This window comes from Homo sapiens, chromosome 9, assembly GCF_000001405.40.
Source record: "Homo sapiens chromosome 9, GRCh38.p14 Primary Assembly".
In the NCBI taxonomy this organism is placed as follows: domain Eukaryota; kingdom Metazoa; phylum Chordata; class Mammalia; order Primates; family Hominidae; genus Homo; species Homo sapiens.
Genome location: NC_000009.12, coordinates 74,656,458 through 74,678,546, shown reverse-complemented (window position 1 = coordinate 74,678,546; position 22,089 = coordinate 74,656,458). Strand labels below are relative to the sequence as shown.

General features: G+C 39.4%; 1 protein-coding gene across 2 annotated transcripts in view; it reads right to left on the bottom strand.

Annotated features, from left to right (window-relative positions):
* RORB (RAR related orphan receptor B) overlaps nucleotides 1-22,089 on the bottom strand; it is a 195,843-nt gene that overhangs the window by 14,631 nt on the left and 159,123 nt on the right. For both annotated transcript variants that reach the window (NM_006914.4, NM_001365023.1), the window contains exons 5-9: nucleotides 17,809-17,930; nucleotides 15,941-16,073; nucleotides 12,952-13,059; nucleotides 10,646-10,756; nucleotides 6,646-6,758 (exon numbers count right to left, since the gene is read on the bottom strand). In NM_006914.4, coding sequence (NP_008845.2) covers nucleotides 6,646-6,758; nucleotides 10,646-10,756; nucleotides 12,952-13,059; nucleotides 15,941-16,073; nucleotides 17,809-17,930 — 587 coding nt within the window. The remainder of the gene's footprint in view (nucleotides 1-6,645; nucleotides 6,759-10,645; nucleotides 10,757-12,951; nucleotides 13,060-15,940; nucleotides 16,074-17,808; nucleotides 17,931-22,089) is intronic.

Here is a 22,089-nt window from a genome sequence, read left to right as displayed (position 1 = left end):
ATTTCACTTATTAGCATTGTTGTTTAAGCCTTCTATCTTTTAAGCTTTTTAAATTTTTTTTTAGTAATTCATTATTGTTATAATAGAAAGACATGCTTCTCTCTCATGTTGATGATACAGTTTTGTTATCTTTATGCTAGAAACAAGCATAGGAATTAAGAAGTTAGTGAATCTGTTGGCATGTACATTTCCTGGCCCAACTTACTGCAATTCTCCCTGGGAAGTTGCAGAGGTCTGAGCTGGAAAGAGACATTTTCTGGGCCTCTCAAACATTTAGGAGTAGCTGCCTTACATTAAGAGTTCAGGTGCTGGAGTTGGCTTAACTGGGTTCAAATTCTGGCTCTCCCACTTAGAAGCTGCTTAACGTTAGGCAAGATATGTAATCACTTGAAGTTTCAACTAATGAGAGTATAGTTTTGAGAATTAAATGTCAATCTATTTAGAATCTATCAGCACAGTGCCTGGCCCATAGTAAATGCTCAATCCTTTTCAACTTTCGCCATTCTTTTTATCCGTCATTGTGATTCTGATCATGTGTTTCTTTTCATTGTAGTCAGTGAGGCACTTGATTTTTTCCTCCACAGCATGTGAACTTGTATCTCATCTATGTTTATTTATCTTGCATATTTGACCTGTAGTAAGTATTTATTGAGTGAACAAAAATGATAAAAATGAATTTTAGAAACTCTTCCTACTTCGCCCTATTTCCACGTGAATGTTTCTTTTGCAATATGAAAGCTGTGGCTATGATGTTGTATTAATACAGCACATTATCATTATATCCTGCAAAGTGAAGGCTGCATACTCTAGATAGTGTCTCACCTGAAAGCTGAAGGTAATGCTCAGGTTCCTCACCTGGATAAGAAGATTTTGCTCAGACAGAATGACGGAAGCAAGAGAATGTGTGTGGAGTAGGCAGGGGAGGTGAATCTCCCTCTCGTCTGAACCTCAGAGATTCTAGATCAGCCATGTCCAATAAAAATATAATGTGGACTACAGATGTAACCTAAAACTTTGTAGCAGCCACATTACACACAGTTAAAAGAAAGAACAGGTGCAATTAATTTTATAATCTATTTTATATAACTCAAAGTACCTAAAATATTATTATTTCAACATATAATCATAAAAAGAATTAATGAGATATTTCCCATTCTGTTGTAAATCCTAACTATTTGAAATAAGTATATATAAGTCTAAAGCCTTAAGAAGGAGAATGTTGTACCATAGATGCCCAAAGTAGTGCTGGCCACGGTATAGTAGGTCAGAAGTCAGGAAATGAAAGGAACGCCTCCCTTTCTCGTCTTCCTGAGCCTTATTGGAATGGGATGGGTGTGTGATGGGGAAAGCTGGACTTTTTACACTTGATCATCCGGAGTTAGATCAATCTACTCTCTCTATGTCGTAGCCTGTATGGATTATGTCTTTTTGAGAAGTCTGGCTTCTTAGCGGTCTGTGGGGGATCCGGGGAAATGCCTAGTGTTTACTCTAGGACTCAGCTGTGTGAGAGAGGATCTGTCTCCTCTGTGGCCCACGTGGCAATGACAGTGAATCAACCAAACGATCTGAGGAGATGAACTTCAAAGTTCAAAGTCAGCACAGGCTTCAGTCATTCTTCTAAGTCAGGATATTCTCTTTCCATGGCTACCCTTAGATTCCCATTGCATTTTCATTAACGTGACATAACCTTAGACTACACTAATTCCTTGTGGATGCAGGTGTGTGGTTAGGACATCTACATGGTTAGCAGGAGCTTAGGAAGAATAACGGGAAAAGAGAGAGCCCCGCGGGGGACGGGATATAACTTTCTGGCCAGCCAGAAATACGAAGAAAGAGAGAGGGAGATTGTGAACTTCAGCAAAGTAACTATAGACTCCTCTACATCCTAGGAGAATTAGAAAGGATTTATCAGCATAGAGCTATGGGCCTAAAACCACCCAGAGGTGTGGTGTGGCCCATGATTCCTGGAAAGCTTGCATGTAAAGCACATGGTGAGGCACAAGCACTTGAACATGTTTTCAGAAGTGAATTGAAGGCATGGTACTCGCTGAGTGTTAGTTGTGAGAAAATAAAAAGCAACATCCTCTCTAAGCCTGCATATGGTGAGCTGAGTGGGCTTTGCCTCTGAGGGATATCAGCAGTTCTCTATGGCTTCCTGTTGGATATATGTGTTGTTATAGAGTTAGCTATTTTCAAACTTCTCAATACAGCTTTGGGCAAGAACACACCTCCAGGAGTGTTGTATCTATTTTCAGGAGTGCTGGGAAAAATAAATATGCTATCTAACAATATTTCATGACTCTAATTAACCAGGAGGCACAAAAGGAGGGGCTAGACTGGGGAAGGCCAACATTAAGCAAGGCTCCAGCTATGGGCCTGACCTGTAGGCTGCATTTGGGAATGGGCTAGACCCATGCATCTGAGGACAAGATGTGAGCAAGACACTACAGATCCAAGCTTTGGTCTTGGCCGTGAGCACACTGCCACAACTTGGCCCCAGCTGGACCGGCCTTCCTTATCCTCTACCCTCTGCACCTCTGGTCAGGGCAACAAGAATGGCAGACTCAGTGACTTTAATAGAGAAAGCCCTAGAATGGAAGAGCAACAGTCTTTATAGTTCAAACATTTGCTGCCCTATCTCTCACCCTCTCTCTAACCTCGGCAGTGGTCCTGCTGTTCTCAACTGAGTGGGGAAAGAGCATCACAGGTTCCTAATCCCCACAGCTGTCTTCACTGAGGAAGTAAACCTCCTAAAGTGAGTCATGGCAGCATCCAAAGCACAAGTCATGGAGCTCCTCCTGGAAGACTGACGGGCACGCTGACCTCTGAACCCGGGCTTTGCACACACTGTATGCTTTGCAGCTTTGAAGCTGGAGTATCGTCCTCAACTAAATGACCATAGTGCAATGAGTACTAATTTGGATCCATAAGACTTGGCAAAATCAGTCTTTTTCTTCACTTTTTATAACAGTAAAATATCCAAAGAGTACTTAAAACAATCACACTGGACTGGACGTTGGAAGGCAACACAAGATGTCAGGAGGAACCTTTGTTTTTCTCTTTACGGAGTCAAACAAGATAATACTAAAGAGACCTTAAAGACCATGCAGTCCAACCTACTCATTTCCCAGACAAGAAAAGTGAAGCCCAGAGAACAGATGGGCTGCCTCCTCTAGTCATATGGGGCTTAAAAATATATATGTATATTTATTTTATATATATATATATGTATGTATTTTTTTTTTCATGAGCTTTAGTGAAAGTGACCAGTGTTATCTCATTTCCTGGCTTCTCAAATCCAGGATCCAGCCAAATCTAACTATTATTTATAGCCTGAATATACCTTATGCTTTCCTACCTCCATGCCATTGCCCCCATCACTTGGAATGCCATCCTGCACTTCTTCAACCTCCCAACTTCCATCTTTTGAAATGGTTTTCATCTATCAGTGACTAGCTCAAATACGCCATCTCTTAGATAAAAATGTCTCTGCCGAAATAATTTTTTTTTCTGTCAACAACAACAGCTACAACACAGCAACAGCACTTACATATTACCTATTATGGACTGGGCAGCTTACTTATATTTTATCTCATTTAGTTAGCCATATATTGGTATATCTTTAGTCATATGGTACAAATGAGGAAATGGAGGCACAGAGAGTTAAAGTCACATGTCCAGGGACACTCATCTAGCAAGTGGCTTTGATGGTTTATTATAAATACGCTATGTATCATAATTATGCTGATAAGGAGAAGAAACTAGATGTTTTAATAGGGTTTTTTTTTCCCCTAACCAACTCTCTCCTCTCCCCAAACCACAACACAGGTTAACACATGGGAATTGAAATCTTCTAGTTAATGTTAGGATACATAATCCCCAAATTTTCAAACCTTCTAAGGTTAAAGTTTGGCCCAAAGTAGAAGGCACTGCTACCTGAACTTTAATTTCAGGAAGTAGGCATGTAGAAAGTGTGTTGGAGATTGCCCTTGCAAGATGAAGTTCAGTGACTGTGTATGAGCCCTGTACCTCTAACCTGATGTCTGTTAACACCTATTCAGAGTTGAACAGGTCAGCGGTAGAAATAATCTTTTGCACACGACACAGAAAGCAGAGGTATCCTCTACCTACTGGCGATTTCACCGGAGCCCCTGGAATTCAACACAACATTTCGGGTACATGTGCATTTTTTTAGAGACAGGTTTCACAACATTCACTGGAGTCCCCAAGGGGTCTATGAATAACAAATATTCAGAATGGCCCTCACTGTTTTAGAGGTATTGTGGAAGGCAGAAGAGCTCCATGACTACAATGGCATAAGGAGCCTTTCTGCAAAGATAAGAAGAATCTGTGATGGGATGAAACAGTTTCTCTCACATTTAAATAAAATATTCCTTTTGGGGAATTTGATGAGAGGGCATCCTAGACAGTGATGGCACATTTGTCCGGAGTGTTAAAGCAGTCAGGAGCTAACGGGGCTCAGTCCATATTCCTAACCCTCCAGCATTTGATAATGGACAAATGTGAGACTTAGACAAATGGAGCGACTTAATCTGAAGCCACAGAGATCAGAGCTGCGATAAATGAAAATTCAGTTCTCATTCAATTTCATGGTCAGTTTGCATTAGTTCAGATAACATCTTATTAAAATGATAACTATTACAAGAAAGGGGCCACACAAAAACCCAACATCTGCCTGTGGCCTATAGAAGCAATGCTTTGTCACCTGGTTCTAGCCAATTTTATCCAAGAAGTAATCCTCTTCTAATGCTTTCTCAGTTTTGCAACATTACTTGTCTATAAGAAAAGAACTGAATTATGTACTTTTCCAAGTAAAGATGGAGAAAGGGAAGTTAATCTGATCTACAGTTGACATAATTTTCTTTCTTGCCTTCAAATATCTTTCGTTCTTCAATTTCTGCCTTCTTCCTACCTCACATACCTCAAATCATAACCAGGACAGTGGGAGGTAGAAAGTGGTGCAAGCATAAACATTTTACCCTCCTAGGGGAGTAATAATCACCATTTCACAACGTGTTAGAATCTCATTTGAACCTCACAACACATCTGCACAGGAGAAGAAATTGTAATCTTCATTTTATAGATGATGAGACCATGGTTTTCATACAAGCGGACAATCCTCCCAAGCAAGCAGAATAGCGAGAATTTTCATCCAACTTTGTGTTTTTTCAAGACTAATTTTAGGATGGTAAATATGGGGACAAAAGTCTTCAGGAGATCCCAAATGCAGACAACATCCCTCCACATTAATTAACAAGATGTATTTATGCATATACGCTACCAAGCAACTATAGAGACACATGCATATATTTACATTATTGTCTTTTCTGCCCAGTGAATCTGAAAGCATGTTGAAGTTCGCTATTGACTAGGAGAATACAGGTGCAGAGAGTAGGTGATTTGTCCTTGACCACCTAATAAATGAAAAGTTACGTGAAAGAGAACTATTGCTCTATAATGTGGAAATGTTCTTGCTAGTGATGCGTTAATTTTAACAAAATGTTACCATAATGAAGCAGCATATTTAACTCATGGAGGTTTTTTATAGCAGTACTCTGTATGTGCAAAGTAAAATCTGATGGTGTCTCCAAATAGAGTCTTTACCATCCCCCTTTTTAAAACAAAGAACTTCAAGGGCAGAGTGGGAAGGTTTTAATGATAAAAATATAAAGAGTAGGATTCCTATGATCTTTAACCAAGAATAAGCTCAATTTCTTAATTTCTTACCCTCTAAAATATTCTGGTTCTTAAGAAATCAAAGATACTTTAAAATCTACGATAATTCTGGCTGCCCAAAAATTTCAGTTCTTGAGAAATCAAAGATACTTTAAGATATAAAATAATGCTGAATATCAATCATTGAGAATTACTTTTTCCTTTTGTGATTATTTTACTTTGGTAAACACTTTTTTTCAGTACTCTTATTAAAGATCATTCTTAATTAAGCTGAATCAAGAAATTGATGACATGTTGCATGGATTTTGCTCCAGGGAAACTTCCCCATTTTGAAAGAACCTCAGGGCAAGTCTTGCACGAAGAGATCAGCGTTGAAGGGAAATTTACAAGTCATCAGTCTAATCTTGCACTCTGAGTAGGAATGTCATTTATAACATACCTGAGAAGTGACTAGGTAGTATCTACTAGAACATGTCCTATGACACAGAGCTCACTGCTTTACACAGTAGTCCACCCCCCATACAACAATTCTCATCATTTGATTGTTCTTTCTTTTTTTGAATAAAAATCTGCCTACTTTTAACTTTGTCCCAGACCTGGCTCCTGAACTGGCACAAAGCCCTCTCTTTCTTCACATATGAATTTTGAAGACCTGTTTCCTTGCTTTGAGTGCTTGTTCTTCTGATGAAACACCCTTGGTTTCATTGATTTGTCCTCCTGAAGCTTGGATTCAGATCTGTCAATATCATCCCTCTATAAGAAAGCCCTTCTTGCAATCTATTACAATTCACTAGCCTCTCTTTTAAATTGCATACCTCACAATTTATGCAGTCTTTGGTAACTTTCAGAAATTGTTGCTGCTGAGAAATTTCCCTTGATTTATAAGCAGTCCTTTTTGCTCACTGTGCTCTCTTTTGGTGGTGGTGGCTCTGTGATCTGTGGACCTACCTTTGCCAAGGTCTCATCATCCAGGTGATTCTTCTGAATCACATGTTGAAGTGCAAAATAAATTTTTTCCTGAAGCTTCTGGACTTTCCTTGGTTCTATAAGCCAGGCTCGGTCTGATGAAAGAAAGAGTGGGTAAGTGGAGGGAACATCAACTTTGTTTTGCTTCACCCACATACATAAGTGCCAAGCTTCAGACCCATTTCATATTATTTAGTTCTAAGTTGCTTCTGAAGACATGTCATTATTTACATAAAACATAAGTATTTCATAGGCAATACCATGATGCCAGGAATGCGCAATATTATGATGCAGGAAATCACTTTGGAGGAAAGGACACAATGGTTCAGATAATCTACTGCTTTGTTTCTTATTGTCTGTGACAATTTACATCTCTCACTCTTTGCTTTGGACATATGCTTAGGTTTTCTTTCAAAGTAGAAGTTAGCGATTTGTGAAGAAGAATTATAGAAGTGAAGAAAATCACAGGAATATTTTTGGTGTTCAGGATCCCTTTTCCTTTTCTCAGCTTATTCTTTCATCAGATATAAAGCTGAAGCTATGTTAGAATTTATATAGCATAAACATAAATCAGTTTCAAAAATTCACTTCTAAGTTCTATTTTCCTATATTGAATTCTTAAATGGTGAATAGGATAATCCCTCCTCTCCTTCTTCCCTCTCTTCATCTGTTTCTCCCTCCCTCAGACCCTCTCTCCCTTCTTTTCTTCCTTCCCTCCTTTCTTCCTCTCTCTTTTTCTCCCTTCCTCCCTCCCTCCCACACTTATTTCCTTCCCTCCATCCCCTCTCCTTCACTCTCTCCTTCCTTCCTTCCTAGAAGATTTATACACCACGGTGACAAAATTCAGCCCAGCATCAATGCCTTAGGTTGGACCTTTATGGAAGAGACACCCCAAATCTTCAAATGCCGAACAAATACTCATGGAAAAGAACTCGAACATGATCTTCCTGAACACAGTTCAGGTCAGGTGAGAAACTCAATTCTGTAATCCTAGACAGGATGAAGACAAGTCTAGCCAACAGTTAAGCAAAACCTTACGTAAGTGAGTACAAAAGCTTTCAGTGACAATTGTCAATCAGAATACATTAAGTTCCCCTCCCTCTCCCTTCCCTAAGCTGTTTGAAGCCTAATACACAGTGGCTCTTATGTCAGGACCCTGGAGAAAGAATAGGGGGCTGTCTGGCAGGAGATGGAGCCTACATAGGCTGGAAATCTTTTTGAATATGGCACTAAGCCAGGGTGGCAAATGAGGTATTTGGAGTTTGTGAAGCCTGTCAGTGTGAGTCTGCTAGCAGCACTGGAAGAGTCCCCACTAGGTAGAGTAAAACAAATTGCATGCTTCCAAACTTCTCAGAATTTAATGATGATAGTATGTTTTTTTTCTAGAAAAAGGCCAAACAGCTCAGCTGATTTCTAGTTCAGAAGGAAGAGGCTAGCTTTTCTTCTGAGGTGATCATTTTCATAGATCATTCATATTTAATACATTTAATATTTCATGTCTTAAATATTTGCTGCTTAAAATTTACTGACTTGCCACAAATATACCCAAAGAGAAAAGTGACTCTTTCTAACGCTTCCTTGGAGCAAGCAAGAACTAGAGGAAAACCATCTCCCTCATCCATAGATTCACCAGCTTAGGTTTAGTTTTCTATTGAACTATTCTCAATGGAAATAATCAAATGCAATGAGAAAATGGTAGAAGGAAAATTATTTGGCATGTGGCTGCTAACAGAGAAAAGTATTCTTGTCACTTCTTCCATCTATCTTTGTGCTTCCAAGCCTGGGAAACTTTCTAGGGTTTAAAAAAAAAAAGGCCTAGAGGAACAGCTTGATTTTAGACAGAGCCATAAAAGAAACTGTTAGTAAAAACACTCTATGTGATAACTAATTTCCATTTTTGATAAAGTGGTTAAATAAAAAACAGTAGCAAATTAAAAATATCCTGATAAGATCATCAAGAATCATATTAGGAATAATAAAGCCTAACATAAAAACTGTAGACATTGGTGTTATTGGAAAATACAGTTATGATGACATGCTAAAATTATAATGTGTTACCTTACATCACAGGTAAGATTAATTTCTTCCAGTTTCATTGAAAAATATAGTAGAGCATATATAAGAAAAGACATCTGGTCTCTACAGATAAACGGGTAACAGAAGAAATGAGACTCTTGACCTTAAAAATTAGGCAGGAATTTGCTTTTCTTTCTGTAGAGACCTGTCAGTGATGCTGTTATCCCTTAACCCAAAATGTAACCAAACAACAGCTGAGGAAGTAACTGAATTCTCATTCTGGTTAGAGACTCATGTATTTATTACTATATTATTGTTGTTATATTATTATGATTATATTATTTATTATTATATTTTAAGTTGGCATATACTTTTTTTTTTTTTTTTTGAGACAGAGTTTCGGTCTTGTTGCCCAGGCTGGAGTGAAATGGCACAATCTCGGCTCACTGCAACCTCTGCCTCCTGGGTTCAAGTGATTCTCCTGCCTCAGCTTCCCAAGGAGCTGGAATTACAGGCATCTGCCACCATATCCAGCTAGTTTTTGTATTTTTGGTAGAGATGGGGTTTCACCATGTTAGCCAGGCTGCTCTCAAACTCCTGACCTCAGGTGATCCGCTGGCCTCGGCCTCCCGAAGTGTTGGGATTACAGGCGTGAGCCACCATGCCAGGCCTAGTATATACTTTAAAAAAATATTTTACTCACTACAGTTCTAGTTGATCCATAAATATTGCCACACCTTGAATTCTTTAAGAACTTGGCATTTCAGTGCATTTTAGAGCTAGTAGAGGTCTTAGTTATTATGGAGTCCATCCCTCTTATTTTATAGATGAGGAAACTAGGGCTCTGAGGGGTCAAATGTTTAATATCACACAGATACTTGGTCACAGAGCTGGCACCAGAATGTCCACCTCCATGTCTGAAGTTTTTCCTCTTCTACTGGGCAGTCTTCAGTATGAGTCATTTTCCCCTCTGCTGTCCTCACCTCCTTTTAAAAACTCCTGATACAGGTGACCCTTCTACAACATAGGTTTGAACTGTGTAGGTCAAGTTATATGAAGATTTTCCTTCTGTTTCTGCCACCCTGGGACTGCGAGACCAAACCCTCCTCTTCCTCCTTCTCCTCAGCCTACTCAGCATGAAGACGACCATGATGAAGACCTTTATGATGATCCACTTCCACTTAATGAACAGGAAATCTGTTTCCTCTTGCTTATAATTTTCTTAGTACCATTTTCTTTTCTCTAGCTTACTTTATTGTAAGAATACAGTATACAATACATTTAACATGCAAAGTATGTGTCAATCGACTGTTTATGTGATCAGCGAGGCTTCCGGTCAACAGTAAGCTATTGGTAGTGAAATTTTTCGGAGTCAGAAGTTACATGCAGATTTTTGACTGCATGCAGGGAGTTAATGCTCTGACCCCTGCATTGTTCAAGGTCAAATGTATTGCTAAGAAAATAGGCACCAGCATTTGTCTGAAGTGAGCACCTCAACATGAATTTGGGCAAAGATGCCAACACAAGAGGTGTTTAAAGAGTAGAAAGTGTTCCTTTTACTTATGTAGGTCCCCATTCTGGAGCTTTCATTTAGGTACATTTCTACTGTGTCTCATCCAACTGGACATTTATTTTCTATGTACTTTATTCTTAAAGTCAAAATAGAACTTGGCTGTAACTCAGGCCACTATTTGTCTTCCTTTATTTGCTAAGGAATGATTCTGCGTATCTGAATCTGGAATAACCCCTAACCTATGCTCTACTCTTGCTTTCGGGCCAAAATTGGTCATTTTAATAAACTTGAGGCTACTTCCCTTTTCACTGTCCAAAAATATCAAAAACTTGGTAAAGAAAATATAGCTCTGTTAAAGTTTCTCCTGAACACTTTGGCTTAGGCAGGTGTCATCAGTGTTAAAAATAGTAAAACAAGTTTTTTAAAAAGGTAAGAGAACTGAGACTGCCCTACCTGGAGATATCAGAACAGCAGATGAGAACAAAGCGATCTCCTCCTCGGTCAGCTGCAAGGAACACAAATTCTTTGCAAAGTCAAATGCTTCATTCACTAGGTCATCAGAACCTATAAAGGAAGAAGAAAAATGGAATAAAAATACTTGAACTTGAAATGGGGCAAGAGTAAGAAAAATCTCATAATCAATAAGCTATCCAAGGAGGTGCATACTAGACTTCTAGAAAAGATATTTTTTTAAGTTTCTAATTATAAAAAGTGATTTGATACTAATCAAAGAATGAGAAAATTGGGCAACATCTTGGCCAGGCAATCCAAGTTAACATTACCTACCAATGGCAAGCAAGTAGACTTGGTGTGTGAGTGGTGTCACATCTGTCTGGCAATCCATAATATGATTACATCCTTATAAATTTGAAATGATTTCACATTAAAGAATATAAAATAAGTGATTTGGGGATCCTTTACAATAGAGATAGTATTCATAGAAAACCTAAAACATTACATACAGGGGCTGAGGATTGTCAGTCTTCGTAACACTTGAAGCTAGCAATGTAGGGTATTCTGGACTTTTAAACTGAGACGTTAGAAATATCTAATGGAACAGAGATGAGATGCACTTCAGTTTCGCAATTTCCTTGGAAATTTCACTGAGGAGCTAGAGTTTATTTATTATTACCTTCTAATGAATGACTCACAGGTCAGTTGCTTAGCTGTTGCGTATTTTGGCAAAATAATGTTGCATCTCTACACTGATCCCTGGTGAATGTTTATTTGATGAAGCTGGAAATATACTGAGGTTGCTTGCCAAGGCTTTTCCTCCTTTCTTGAAAATCTAGCCTTGGAGATGACATGGATGTGTATCAACTGTAGAAGGGAAACATTGCCAGCCCCGATGGACTTGTTGTTGGCTGCCATATCAACTAACAGCACAAGAGGTGAAAGGGCAGTGGCCTTCTTTGGTGTCCATGGGCAGGATATGGAACAAATGGCACTATCAATCGTTAAAACCTTTCCTGGCATCAGCCCATCTTTGCTAATGTTCTTCCTACCATGCCATGCACTGATGACTGGATGTGATGATATATAACACTTCCAAACAAAGACTGACTCTGTTAGTGCCTTCCCACAGGAATGGTCTGGGATCACTGTGGACAGGTTGGCATGAACTCTGTGCTCCCAGAACTTTGTGAATTAACTTCTGTGGGTGAGAAACAAGTAGAGGAGCTCCTCATTTAATTAAGTATCTTAACTCATGATGATAAATTGACATAAGAAACGCAAGAGGTCACCACCATGGATGACCAGGGGTCTATGCAATATGCAATAAAGTTGAAAAAAAAAAGCTGATTTCACAAAGAATGATCTATAATTCAGCCCAGCTCTTTTACTCTTTTAGCATCAGCCTCCGGTTATTTCTTATTTCTTTCCTTTTTTTTTTTTAACAGGGTCTCGCTTTGTCACCCAGGCTGTAGTGCAGTGGTGTGAAGATGACTCACTGTAGCCTCAATCTCCCAGGGTCAAGCAATCTTCCTGCCTCAGCCTCCCAAGTAGCTGGGACTACAGGTGTGTGTCACCATGCCCAGCTAATTTTATTTATTTATTTTATTTATTTGAGATGGAGTCTTGCTCTGTTGCCCAAGCTGGAGTGCAGTGGAACTATCTCAGCTCACTGCAACCTCCACCTCCCACATTCAAGCGATTCTCTTGCCTCAGCCTCCTGAGTAGCTGGGATTACAGGCGTCAGCCACCATGCGTGGCTAATTTTTGTATTTTTGCAAGAGACTGGCTTTCACCATGTTGGCCAGGCTGGTCTAGAACTCCTGACCTCAAGAGATCCACCTGCCTCAGCCTCCCAAAGTGCTGGGATTACAGGCATGAGCCACCACACCTGGTGATGCCCAGCTAATTTTTGTACTTTTTGTAGAGATGGGGTTTGGCCATGTTGCCCATGCTGGTCTTGAACTCTGGGGCTCAAGTGATCTGCGCCCCTTGGCCTCCCAAAGTTCTAGGATTATACGCATGAGCCACCACGCTGGGCCTCCATTTATTTCTGAATGAACGATGTCTCAATAGGGTTGTTCTCAGGAGGGTCCTCAGTTCTCTCTTTCTTTTGTATTGGAGGCCACAGTTACAAGATCAGGAGAGGCTTGCCTGAATTAGAAGCTCACCTGGTCCATCGCTTATCGAATAATGAGATACTGGTTCACATCAAAGAATCAAGGCATTTCATTTACCAATTTCAATCTAAGTGGAGAAACTGATGGTGGCTAATAAAATTGTGTCCTCATCAAAGGGAAACTTACCTAAGGCTTTGAACATTTGCATTCCTCCATATTTTCCTTCAAACAGAACAGTGTTGTTTAATGGGTTGAAGGCACGGCACATTCTCACTAAAACCACTTCCAAGCAACCTATGAGTAAAAAATAAAAATAAAAATAAAATAAAAATACACATATATATCCAATAATAAAGAAATTATTACTGCATATAGGTAAGAGACTTTCAAGAACTTTAAAACACACAGAGAGACACATACACACACACACAGGCACACACATACAGAAATCCCTTAAGTTCCTTCCCCTAAAATAACTATTAGGTTGGTGCAAAAATAATTGCAGTTTTTGCCATTGAAAGTATTGGCAAAAACCTAATATATTTGCACCAATTTAATATATTAGAAATAAAGTTTTCTTGATACTTATATGAGGAATTAAGGAGAAAATATATTTTACAGGTGGCTAAGCTGGACATTACTTTTTGAAAATACATTTTTCTCTATTTTTCCACTAATATTAAAGCTAGTTTTGATTCCTGAATTCACAATTGAGGAAATGAGGGCAGAAATTTTGTCTGCAGTGATAGGCAGCCATGATTACTGTATTCACTCTTGCATCTCCAGGACCAAGAAAAGTTTCTGGCACATAGTAGGTGCTAAGCAAATATTTATTGAATGAATTTGTTTACTACCACTGTTTTTCCCTTTGAGCATTATTAACATCCTGAGGAAATACTGCTGCATAGCTTCCCATGTTTTGGAGAAATGGGCTTTTGCCCCATAGTGCAGTTGAAGTTAACAGCCAGACTCAGCAGCCACAGATTTGCATGAGAGCATCATACTGGTGATTAGCCTACAACTTTGGTACCTGTCTTATGCCATCACTTTATCTTTATGTCTCTGTTTTATTTCCTTTGCTGTACATATGTTTGCTGATTTCTCTCTGCTTGTCTTTGATACGTCACCTAGCATAGAGGCTTATACATGGGGAGGATTTGCAAATATTAATTGAAGGAATGCTTTTCTGACACAAACAGTAGATGGGTACCATTTATTGAGTATCTACACAATGGAAGGAACTTTCTTTGGCCTCTTACATTCATTTTTTATCTTTGCTCCTTACAATAACTATTTCAGGTGAGTTTATTAGCCCTATTTTATGGAGGAGTTACATGAGGCTTGAAAATATTAAGTACCCTACCTTTTTGACTAGAGTCAACATTTTTACACCAGGTAGAGATGTTAAAGATTATATGGTTCAGTTGTTCCCAAATGTCAGCCCATGGATTGGTTATATCTGAGTCTTAGTTAGAGATACAATGAACTGGGTTCCCCTCCAGGAGATTTGGATTCCATGGGACTCATGGTGCCCATGTCTCTGAACTGTCAATAATCTCCTTTGATGTTGTTGATGCAATTCTAAATTTGGAATTCATTGTTTCTAGTCCATCTCTTTATTTTACAAATGAGGAAACTGCTATCTAGAGAGTTTAGCTCAAGGTCACATATCAAGTGTGGCAGATTTCACTTTTCAAAGAGGGTCAGAAAAAATATCTTCCATCCCATATGTTTTCTAGGACCTTACCACTCCCCTATTAAGTAGTAGAATCCATGTCTCCTATCTTTGAATCTGGGTGGGGCTTCATGACTGATGGTATATAATGGAAATAACAATATGTGTTTTCTGAAGCTAAGTTAGAAAAATCTATGCATTTCTGCCTTGTTCTCTTGGGGTGCTAGCTTTTGGAACCTAGAGAACACCCTAGTGTTCTCTTGGGGTGCTAGCTTTTGGAGCCTTGAGCAAGTCCAAGCAGTCTTTGGAGGGTCTCACATGGAGAGGAACTGAGGCCCCTAGCCCAGTTCCAGGCTGTCAACTAGCACAACTCATCAGCTGTGTGAATGAGCCAATTTGAAAGTGGATTCCTTTGCCCTCAGCTGAACTGACTCAGTGAATACCACATGGAGCAGAGATAAGGTCACTCCCACTGAGCCCTGCCCAAATTGTAGCTTTGAGAGCGAAAGAAATAATTCTTGTTGTTTTAGTTAAATTTTGCAGTGGTTTAGATGACTGGTACATCAAGTTGACACTTCAGTCAAGGTTTTCATCAACTTGAGTCATTTGGTAAAGAAGGGATCTTAGAATAACAGTTATATTTGGCCCAAGTTCAAATGCCAACTTTGCCGTGTACTGGTTTTGTAATATTGAATGTAGCTCTTCACTTCTCTGAATCTTTTCCTCCTCCTCTGTAAGATGGAAATAATAATATGGATCTCACAAGATTACTTGAGATGTCATAGGGAAACATAAACACATATGTATGTTATTTTACTTATGAGTATGTTATTATTATTATTATGGCCTAGGACCATGAAAATTCGCATAAACACCATCATGGTTCTTATTTTCTATTTTCAAAGGGGCCCAAGAAAGACAAATAATTTCTTTTTCCTGTTTGGTAATAACATCCGCAAAGTCAGTCATATGCAGAGTTTCTTGAGCTACTTCCGCAGCGATTGTAGCAATTGTGTGTGTCAGACAGTGTGTTAGGGAAGGGTAGGGAAAGATTAGAGTACCGTGGAGTTTCTCCTGGTGTATACTGGCTGCAGGCTATCCTCATTAAAATGATTGGAAATGACCACAGAGGCAGAACTCAGCTAGCCTGCATTTTTTTTTTTTCCTTTCACAGAAGGCAAGGAGTACGTTTTAGCGCCGGCTCAGCAATTCAGCCACCTTGACACGCTAATTACTTGCACTGCCTGTCAAGCTGGGTATTTCAACCTCCGCAATTAATAGCTCCACTTTCAATAAGCAAAATTGTATTTGACTTCAAAGGGGAACTGAATGAGTATCAGGGCATTTTTATTACTGAGAGTTTCCTTTGGGAGTTGGCTGACAATGTGGGTGGTAGAAACGAGCTGCATATCGGAAGGAGGATTTTCTAGAACCAACACAGTGCTAAGGGCTGACCACATCCTTATCTGAAATAGGCCTCCCATGAATCTTCTTGCTTACCTGACTTCAGAAGTAGAATTTGATCATTTTGACAGAGCTCCATGAAGCCTGTTATCCGCTTTGCAAACTCCACCACGTATTGGATGGCGTGAGTGATCTGGATGGCACATTGTTGCCACAGTGCTTCCCTGGACTTGAGGAGAGAAGACACAGAATGTAAATAGGGCAAACGACTTACGGAGAGTCAACAGAACACTCAGGTTTGCCTTACTGGTGCTTATCTGTCACTTGGGGCCAAAGGAGGGAATTTATATGATTCCTTTAAAAAAGGAGGGCACTACTTTTATTTTTTTTCCCTAAGTTAATATTTTGACCTGTTTGGACCTCAATAGGCCAAAATGATCAAAGTACTGAGGCTAAAATAATAGCAACATTGTTTATAGTAAGTAAGGATAGCTTTGTTATTTTCTTTACTCTTTTTCCTCCTTTTCCTCCTTCTCACCTAAACGAAATCTGAGTTTGTAAAGAAAATAACAAATCTATCTTCACATACTATTAATATAAAAAACAAAGCTTTGCATTGAGGGATAGTGATTTCATTCACAGGCTTCCATGACATCATTTTCATGGGTATCTGATGGGCACTAAATTTGTAGTATTTTTATGTTGTGTCTTTTTCCCAGACCTATGGAGAGTGTTTTCTGGTTTAAAAAGAATTCCGAGGCCGGGCGCGGTGGCTCACGCCTGAAATCCCAGCACTTTGGGAGGCTGAGGCAGGCGGATCACAGGGTCAGGAGATCGACACCATCCTGGCTAACATGGTGAAACCCTGTCTCTACTAAAAATACAAAAAATTAGCTGGGCGTGGTGGGGGGGCGCCTGTAGTCCCAGCTACTCGGGAGGCTGAGGCAGGAGAATGGCGTGAACCTGGGAGGTGGAGCTTGCAGTGAGCCGAGATCGCGCCACTGCACTCCAGCATGGGTGACAGAGTGAGACTCCGTCTCAAAAAAAAAAAAAAAAAAAAAAAAAAGGAAAAAAGAATTCCGAGGAAAAAGGCATTACATCAAATCAAATCATTCACCTAAGTTCAGTAGAATCACCCAAATATTTTTTAGTCCTCAGTTTATTTTTTGAAATGAGAAACAGAAATCTATGTGTGTTAATTCTAATTTTTATTGACCATAGCGACACAATGCCTTTGTTTCCCTATTTATATAAAAGTACTGAGATTTAGTTGTTCTGGTGGAGAAAAATCAGCATATTGTAAACATTTATTTAGATATACACACATTTATATATTTTATTAAAGTTCCATCTACTGGTGGATTTTGTAATTGGGGATCTCTATCCCAAAGTAATGTAATGTAAATACTGAAAAACAACAATAAATTCCTCTTAAAAACTTCTTCAACAAACCCAAAGAAATGACACAGTGTAATAATGAAAATATGGGATGAGTTGTCCTGTTTTTTGGATTCTTTTTAACATGCAGGGCAAGAAAAAACTTTAGAAAGCCTTGTTCCATATATTTGCTGTGTAAGTTTGTGACGATTACAACTGCTGTGATTATTACATTGCTCCTGCTCCTTGCCTCCACCCAAGAAGTCAGCAAGAGATGTCCTAAAATCATTTGATGAAGGCACGGTCTCTGTAGTCACTCAAATAGGGCCGTGGTTTTTCAATCAGGGTAGTTTTGCCTCCTTGGAAACAGTTGGCAGTATCTGGAGACATTTCTGGTTGTCACAAGTGTGTGTGAGGGCGATGGCACATCTAGTGGGTAGGGCCAGGGATGCTGGTAAGTATCGAACAATTTGCAGGATGCCCTTACAGAAAAGAATTGCCCAGTGCAACATGCCAATAGTGCTGAGCTTGAGCAACACAGCAATAGGGTAATCACAGAAAAACTTTCTCATGGTTTCCCAGAGTACCTTGCTTTGATATGCTTTAATTTCTTCATAGGTGTGGGTCTGCCACGCCAGCTGGTGCAGCTCTTCCATGGTGTATTGACATGTCTCCAAATGGGACTTAATGATGTTCTGTGCAATTCGGTCTGTGAGAAAAGATATCAATTCAAAGGTTTGTGAATAAAATTACTCTGCTCATTAGCTTTTAATGTGTTTACTATAAGAATGCCTTTTGGAGATACTCCTATTGTATTAAAGTGTCTTTAACATTGCTATCTATCTTAAAATCTTCAGACAAACTCTTTATTGCATTTTTTCAATTTTCAGTATTTTAATCAAAATTTATTGCTTTCCCCCAGGTCTTTTGATCACAACTTAGGGGTTTTACAAGTTGGAAACCATTCAAAGGTATTTATTTATAAAAAAGATATAAAATTATTATATTTCTTGCTTTTTGGCTTGAAAGTCAACTAACAGTCTTAACACTTGTACTCCAAATACTTTAAAATGTTTTGAAAATCACTAGAACCCTATTGTTTATCTCAGAAAGGGGGCATTAAAATATAAATTTATTTGCTTATTTTTTTAAAGGAAGCATTAAACAATAAACTAAAAGAAAGGCTATGTATAGAGGAAATAGGGAACAGAATGCAGAGACAAGGAAACAAATTAAATTTTCTGATAATACTATTTTTGTAGATTTGACTTTGGGGCAATGTAAATATCTTACATAATAGGAGAGGTGGTGTACACAATACAATATTGGCTATGAGTTGATAATGATTGGAATTGGGTCATAGGGACCATTATATTCTCCTTTTTAATTTTTTATATAATAACCTTTTTCTTTTAAAAAGTTTAAAAATGATTAAATGATTATATTCACAAAAATTAGTAGCAAACACAATTTTGGGCAGTTTATCCCAATCGAGTTGTATTTCACATTGTATCTTAAATACCAATCATTTTGGGTTTGGAGACATGAAAGTTGAGCAATAGAACCAGACATAAGAGCTCTCCTTAAAAAAAGCCTGCTGTGGGAGATCAAGACCATCCTGGCTAGCATGGTGAAACCCCATCTCTACTAAAAAAAAACCACAAAAAATTAGCCAGGTGTGGTGGCACACGCCTGTAATCCCAGCTACTCAGGAGGCTGAGGCAGGAGAATCGCTTGAACCTGGGAGGTGGAGGTCACACCAATGCACTCCAGTCTGGGCGACAGAGCGAGACTCCATCTCAAAAACAAAACAAAACGAAGCAAAACAAAACAAAACAAAACAAGCCTGCTGTGAGTCCCCTGAAGGTGGCTAGAGCTAGGAGGTGGTCCCTTGTAATCCCACCTGCTAGTTGAACACTAGTTGAAAATAAAATTTTCTTGTATTTCAGGTTGCGCCATTTCAAATGTAAGTTCTGTTCTTTCTAAATGGCCAACCCCATTTCTCCAGGACAGCCCTCAAAGCAGCATTTGGCTGTCTCCTTTCTATCTCACTAAGCTTCTGGTATATAGGGTACAAAGTAAATTAAATTTTAGTGATGTAGAGAACAAAAAATTGTAAACTTAAGCTTCTAATAAATTTTCTAAACAAAAATCTCCTACAGACCATTGCCTGGCACGTTGGAAACACTGAATAAATGGTAGCCCCGGTTATCCTTATTAGGACAGTCTACATAGTTTGTCATCAGGGGAGCAATATGATGACTCCAATGGAGATACAATTCAGTGGAGATACTTAATTCTGCAATCCATCCTGCAGAAAGAAGATATTTCAAGAGTTTTTCAATCAAAATAAAATAATACATGTAGAAGATGCTACCAAATGCTAACTTCTGATGATAGCTCTACTCTATTGGATTCAGCACTGAGCATTTCTAGACTTGCACTGCTTATGATATTACAAAATCCTTTCTTTAAAAAATCCTATATTCAAAGTTTAATTGAACATTCTCCTATGGTATAAAAAGGGTAAAAATTACTCTATCCATCATATTAAAATAGATTGGTATGTCATGGCTCATCATTTTTCAATTTCACCGGGGCAGTCTAATTACTTAGAATCTAAAAAAACATATTTGCTTTCCAGTAGGTATATAATGTTAACAAAAGATTTTATAGCTTTATAGTTTTCAAACTATTATCTTCTTGGTGTAGTTTGTTTTCATTTTCAAAGACATGCTGATTTGTTGGTAATTTACAGGCTTCAGGGTTTATAAACAAGACTATCATTGCCACTCACAATTGTATTGTGAAAAACTTTATCTGTTCTTTTATGATATCTGCCTGGAACTGTTGGCCAAAGCTTAAGGATTCTCTGGCCTTCTGATATCAAAATTTAGGAGTCTATGGTTTATGAGGAAGGGTAGGTACAATAAATACGTGGGAAGGTTAAGGAAATAGGAAATTAAATCCACATGCATGCTTCAGGACTCAACCCGGATGGTCATGCCTGGTGAAAGTTTCCCTGCCAACCATGTCCTCAGGAAGAAGGGCTGGCTGCCATCACACTTTGATTCTGCCTCAATTGAGCCCTTGTTCCAGTGAGACTCATACTGTGGTTATTTGAATCCCTCTGTTTGTCCCACACCCTTTAAGATTATGAGGTCCTTAAGAACTGGACAGCAGAGCCCAGCATAATGCCTTCATATATTCATTCACCAAATATTTTTGAGAAGGTACCCTATATCAGGTCAAGGTACAGATTAAAAAAACAAAGATTTTGGCTTTTCTTTTCTTTTCTTTTTTTTTTTTTTTTTTTTTTTTGAGACCGAGTCTCACTGTGTTGCCCCGGCTGGATGGCAGTGGCACGATCTTGGCTCACTGCAACCTCCACCTCCCAGGTTCAAGTGATTCTCATGCCTCAGCCTCCCGAGTAGCTGTGATTACAGGTGCCCACCACCACACCTGGATAATTTTTGTATTTTTAGTAGAGACAGGGTTTCCTCACCTTGGCCAGGCTGGTCCCAAACTCCTGACCTTAAGTGATCCACCTGCTTCAGTCTCCCAAAGTGCTGGGATTACAGGCGTGAGCCACCATCCCCTACCCTTGCCTGTGTTTTAAAGTATCTTACAATAATATAATTTCATGTCATGATGCAATAAATGCCCACAGTTATTGTGGGAGCCCAAAGAAGAAAGTGGCTAACTTAGTCTGGGGGTAGGGGCAGGAAAATAACCATAGAGGAGTTGCCTGGGTCTTGAAGGATGAGCACAGTTTGTCACATGGAGAAGAGAAAGATGTATCCCAGGTAGAGGGAATGATGTTATGAAGGCACAGATAGAAAGCTAGCTGTAGGCTAGGTAATTTCTGACATTACATCTTATATCTTTACAACCTTTACTTCTTTAGGACCAGTCTCCCCTTTACTGAGGATAGAAGTGAGGTTTCGAAAGAGCAAGTGATGGCTGGGTGCAGTGGCTCACGCCTGTAATCCCAGCCCTTTGGGAGGCCAAGGCAAGCAGATCACGAGGTCAGGAGATCGAGACCATCCCGGCCAACATGGTGAAACCCCATCTCTACTAAAAATACAATAAATAAATAAATAAATAAATAAATTAGCTGGGCATGGTGGCGGGTGCCTGTAATTCCAGCTACTCAAGAGGCTGAGACAGGAGAATCCCTTGAAGCAGGGAGTCGGAAGTTGCAGTGAGCTGAGATCGGGCCACTGCACTGCAGCCTGGTGACAGAGCGTGACTCCGTCTCAAAAAAAGAAAAGACCAAGTGAGTCTAGACCAGTTTCTATGGAGCTAGTAAGCAATGTTTTGAAACCGAGTCCATCTTTCCTGGCTTGAAGTCTTGTATATTTGCAACACAGGGTGCATGGAGGAGATGAGGAGAAATAAGACTAGGGTGGACAGATTTTGTGACTGAAGTAGGGATGTCTGAGTAAACAGGTCAAGGAATTTCATCTTGTAGGATTTTTGGATTTTATCTCTGAATTTTACCAATTCAGAGATAACTGGTAACCAACCGAAGTTGTAAAGTAGGAGCTGTAAAGTATGGTCTGTTTTTTGTCTTATTTATTTATTTTTGAGACAGAGTCTCATTCTGTTGCCCAGGCTGGAGTGCAGTGGCATGATTGCAGCTCACTGCAACCTCCACTTCTCGGATTGAAGTGATTCTCCTGCCTCAGCCTCCCAACTAGCTGGGACTACAAGTGGGTACCACCACACCTGGCTAATTTTTGTATTTTCAGTAGAGACGGGGTTTCTTCATGTTGGCCAGGCTGTTCTCGAACTCTTGACCTCAGGCGATCTGCCCACCTTGGCTTCCCAAAGTGTTGGGATTACAGGCGTGAGCCACCATGCCC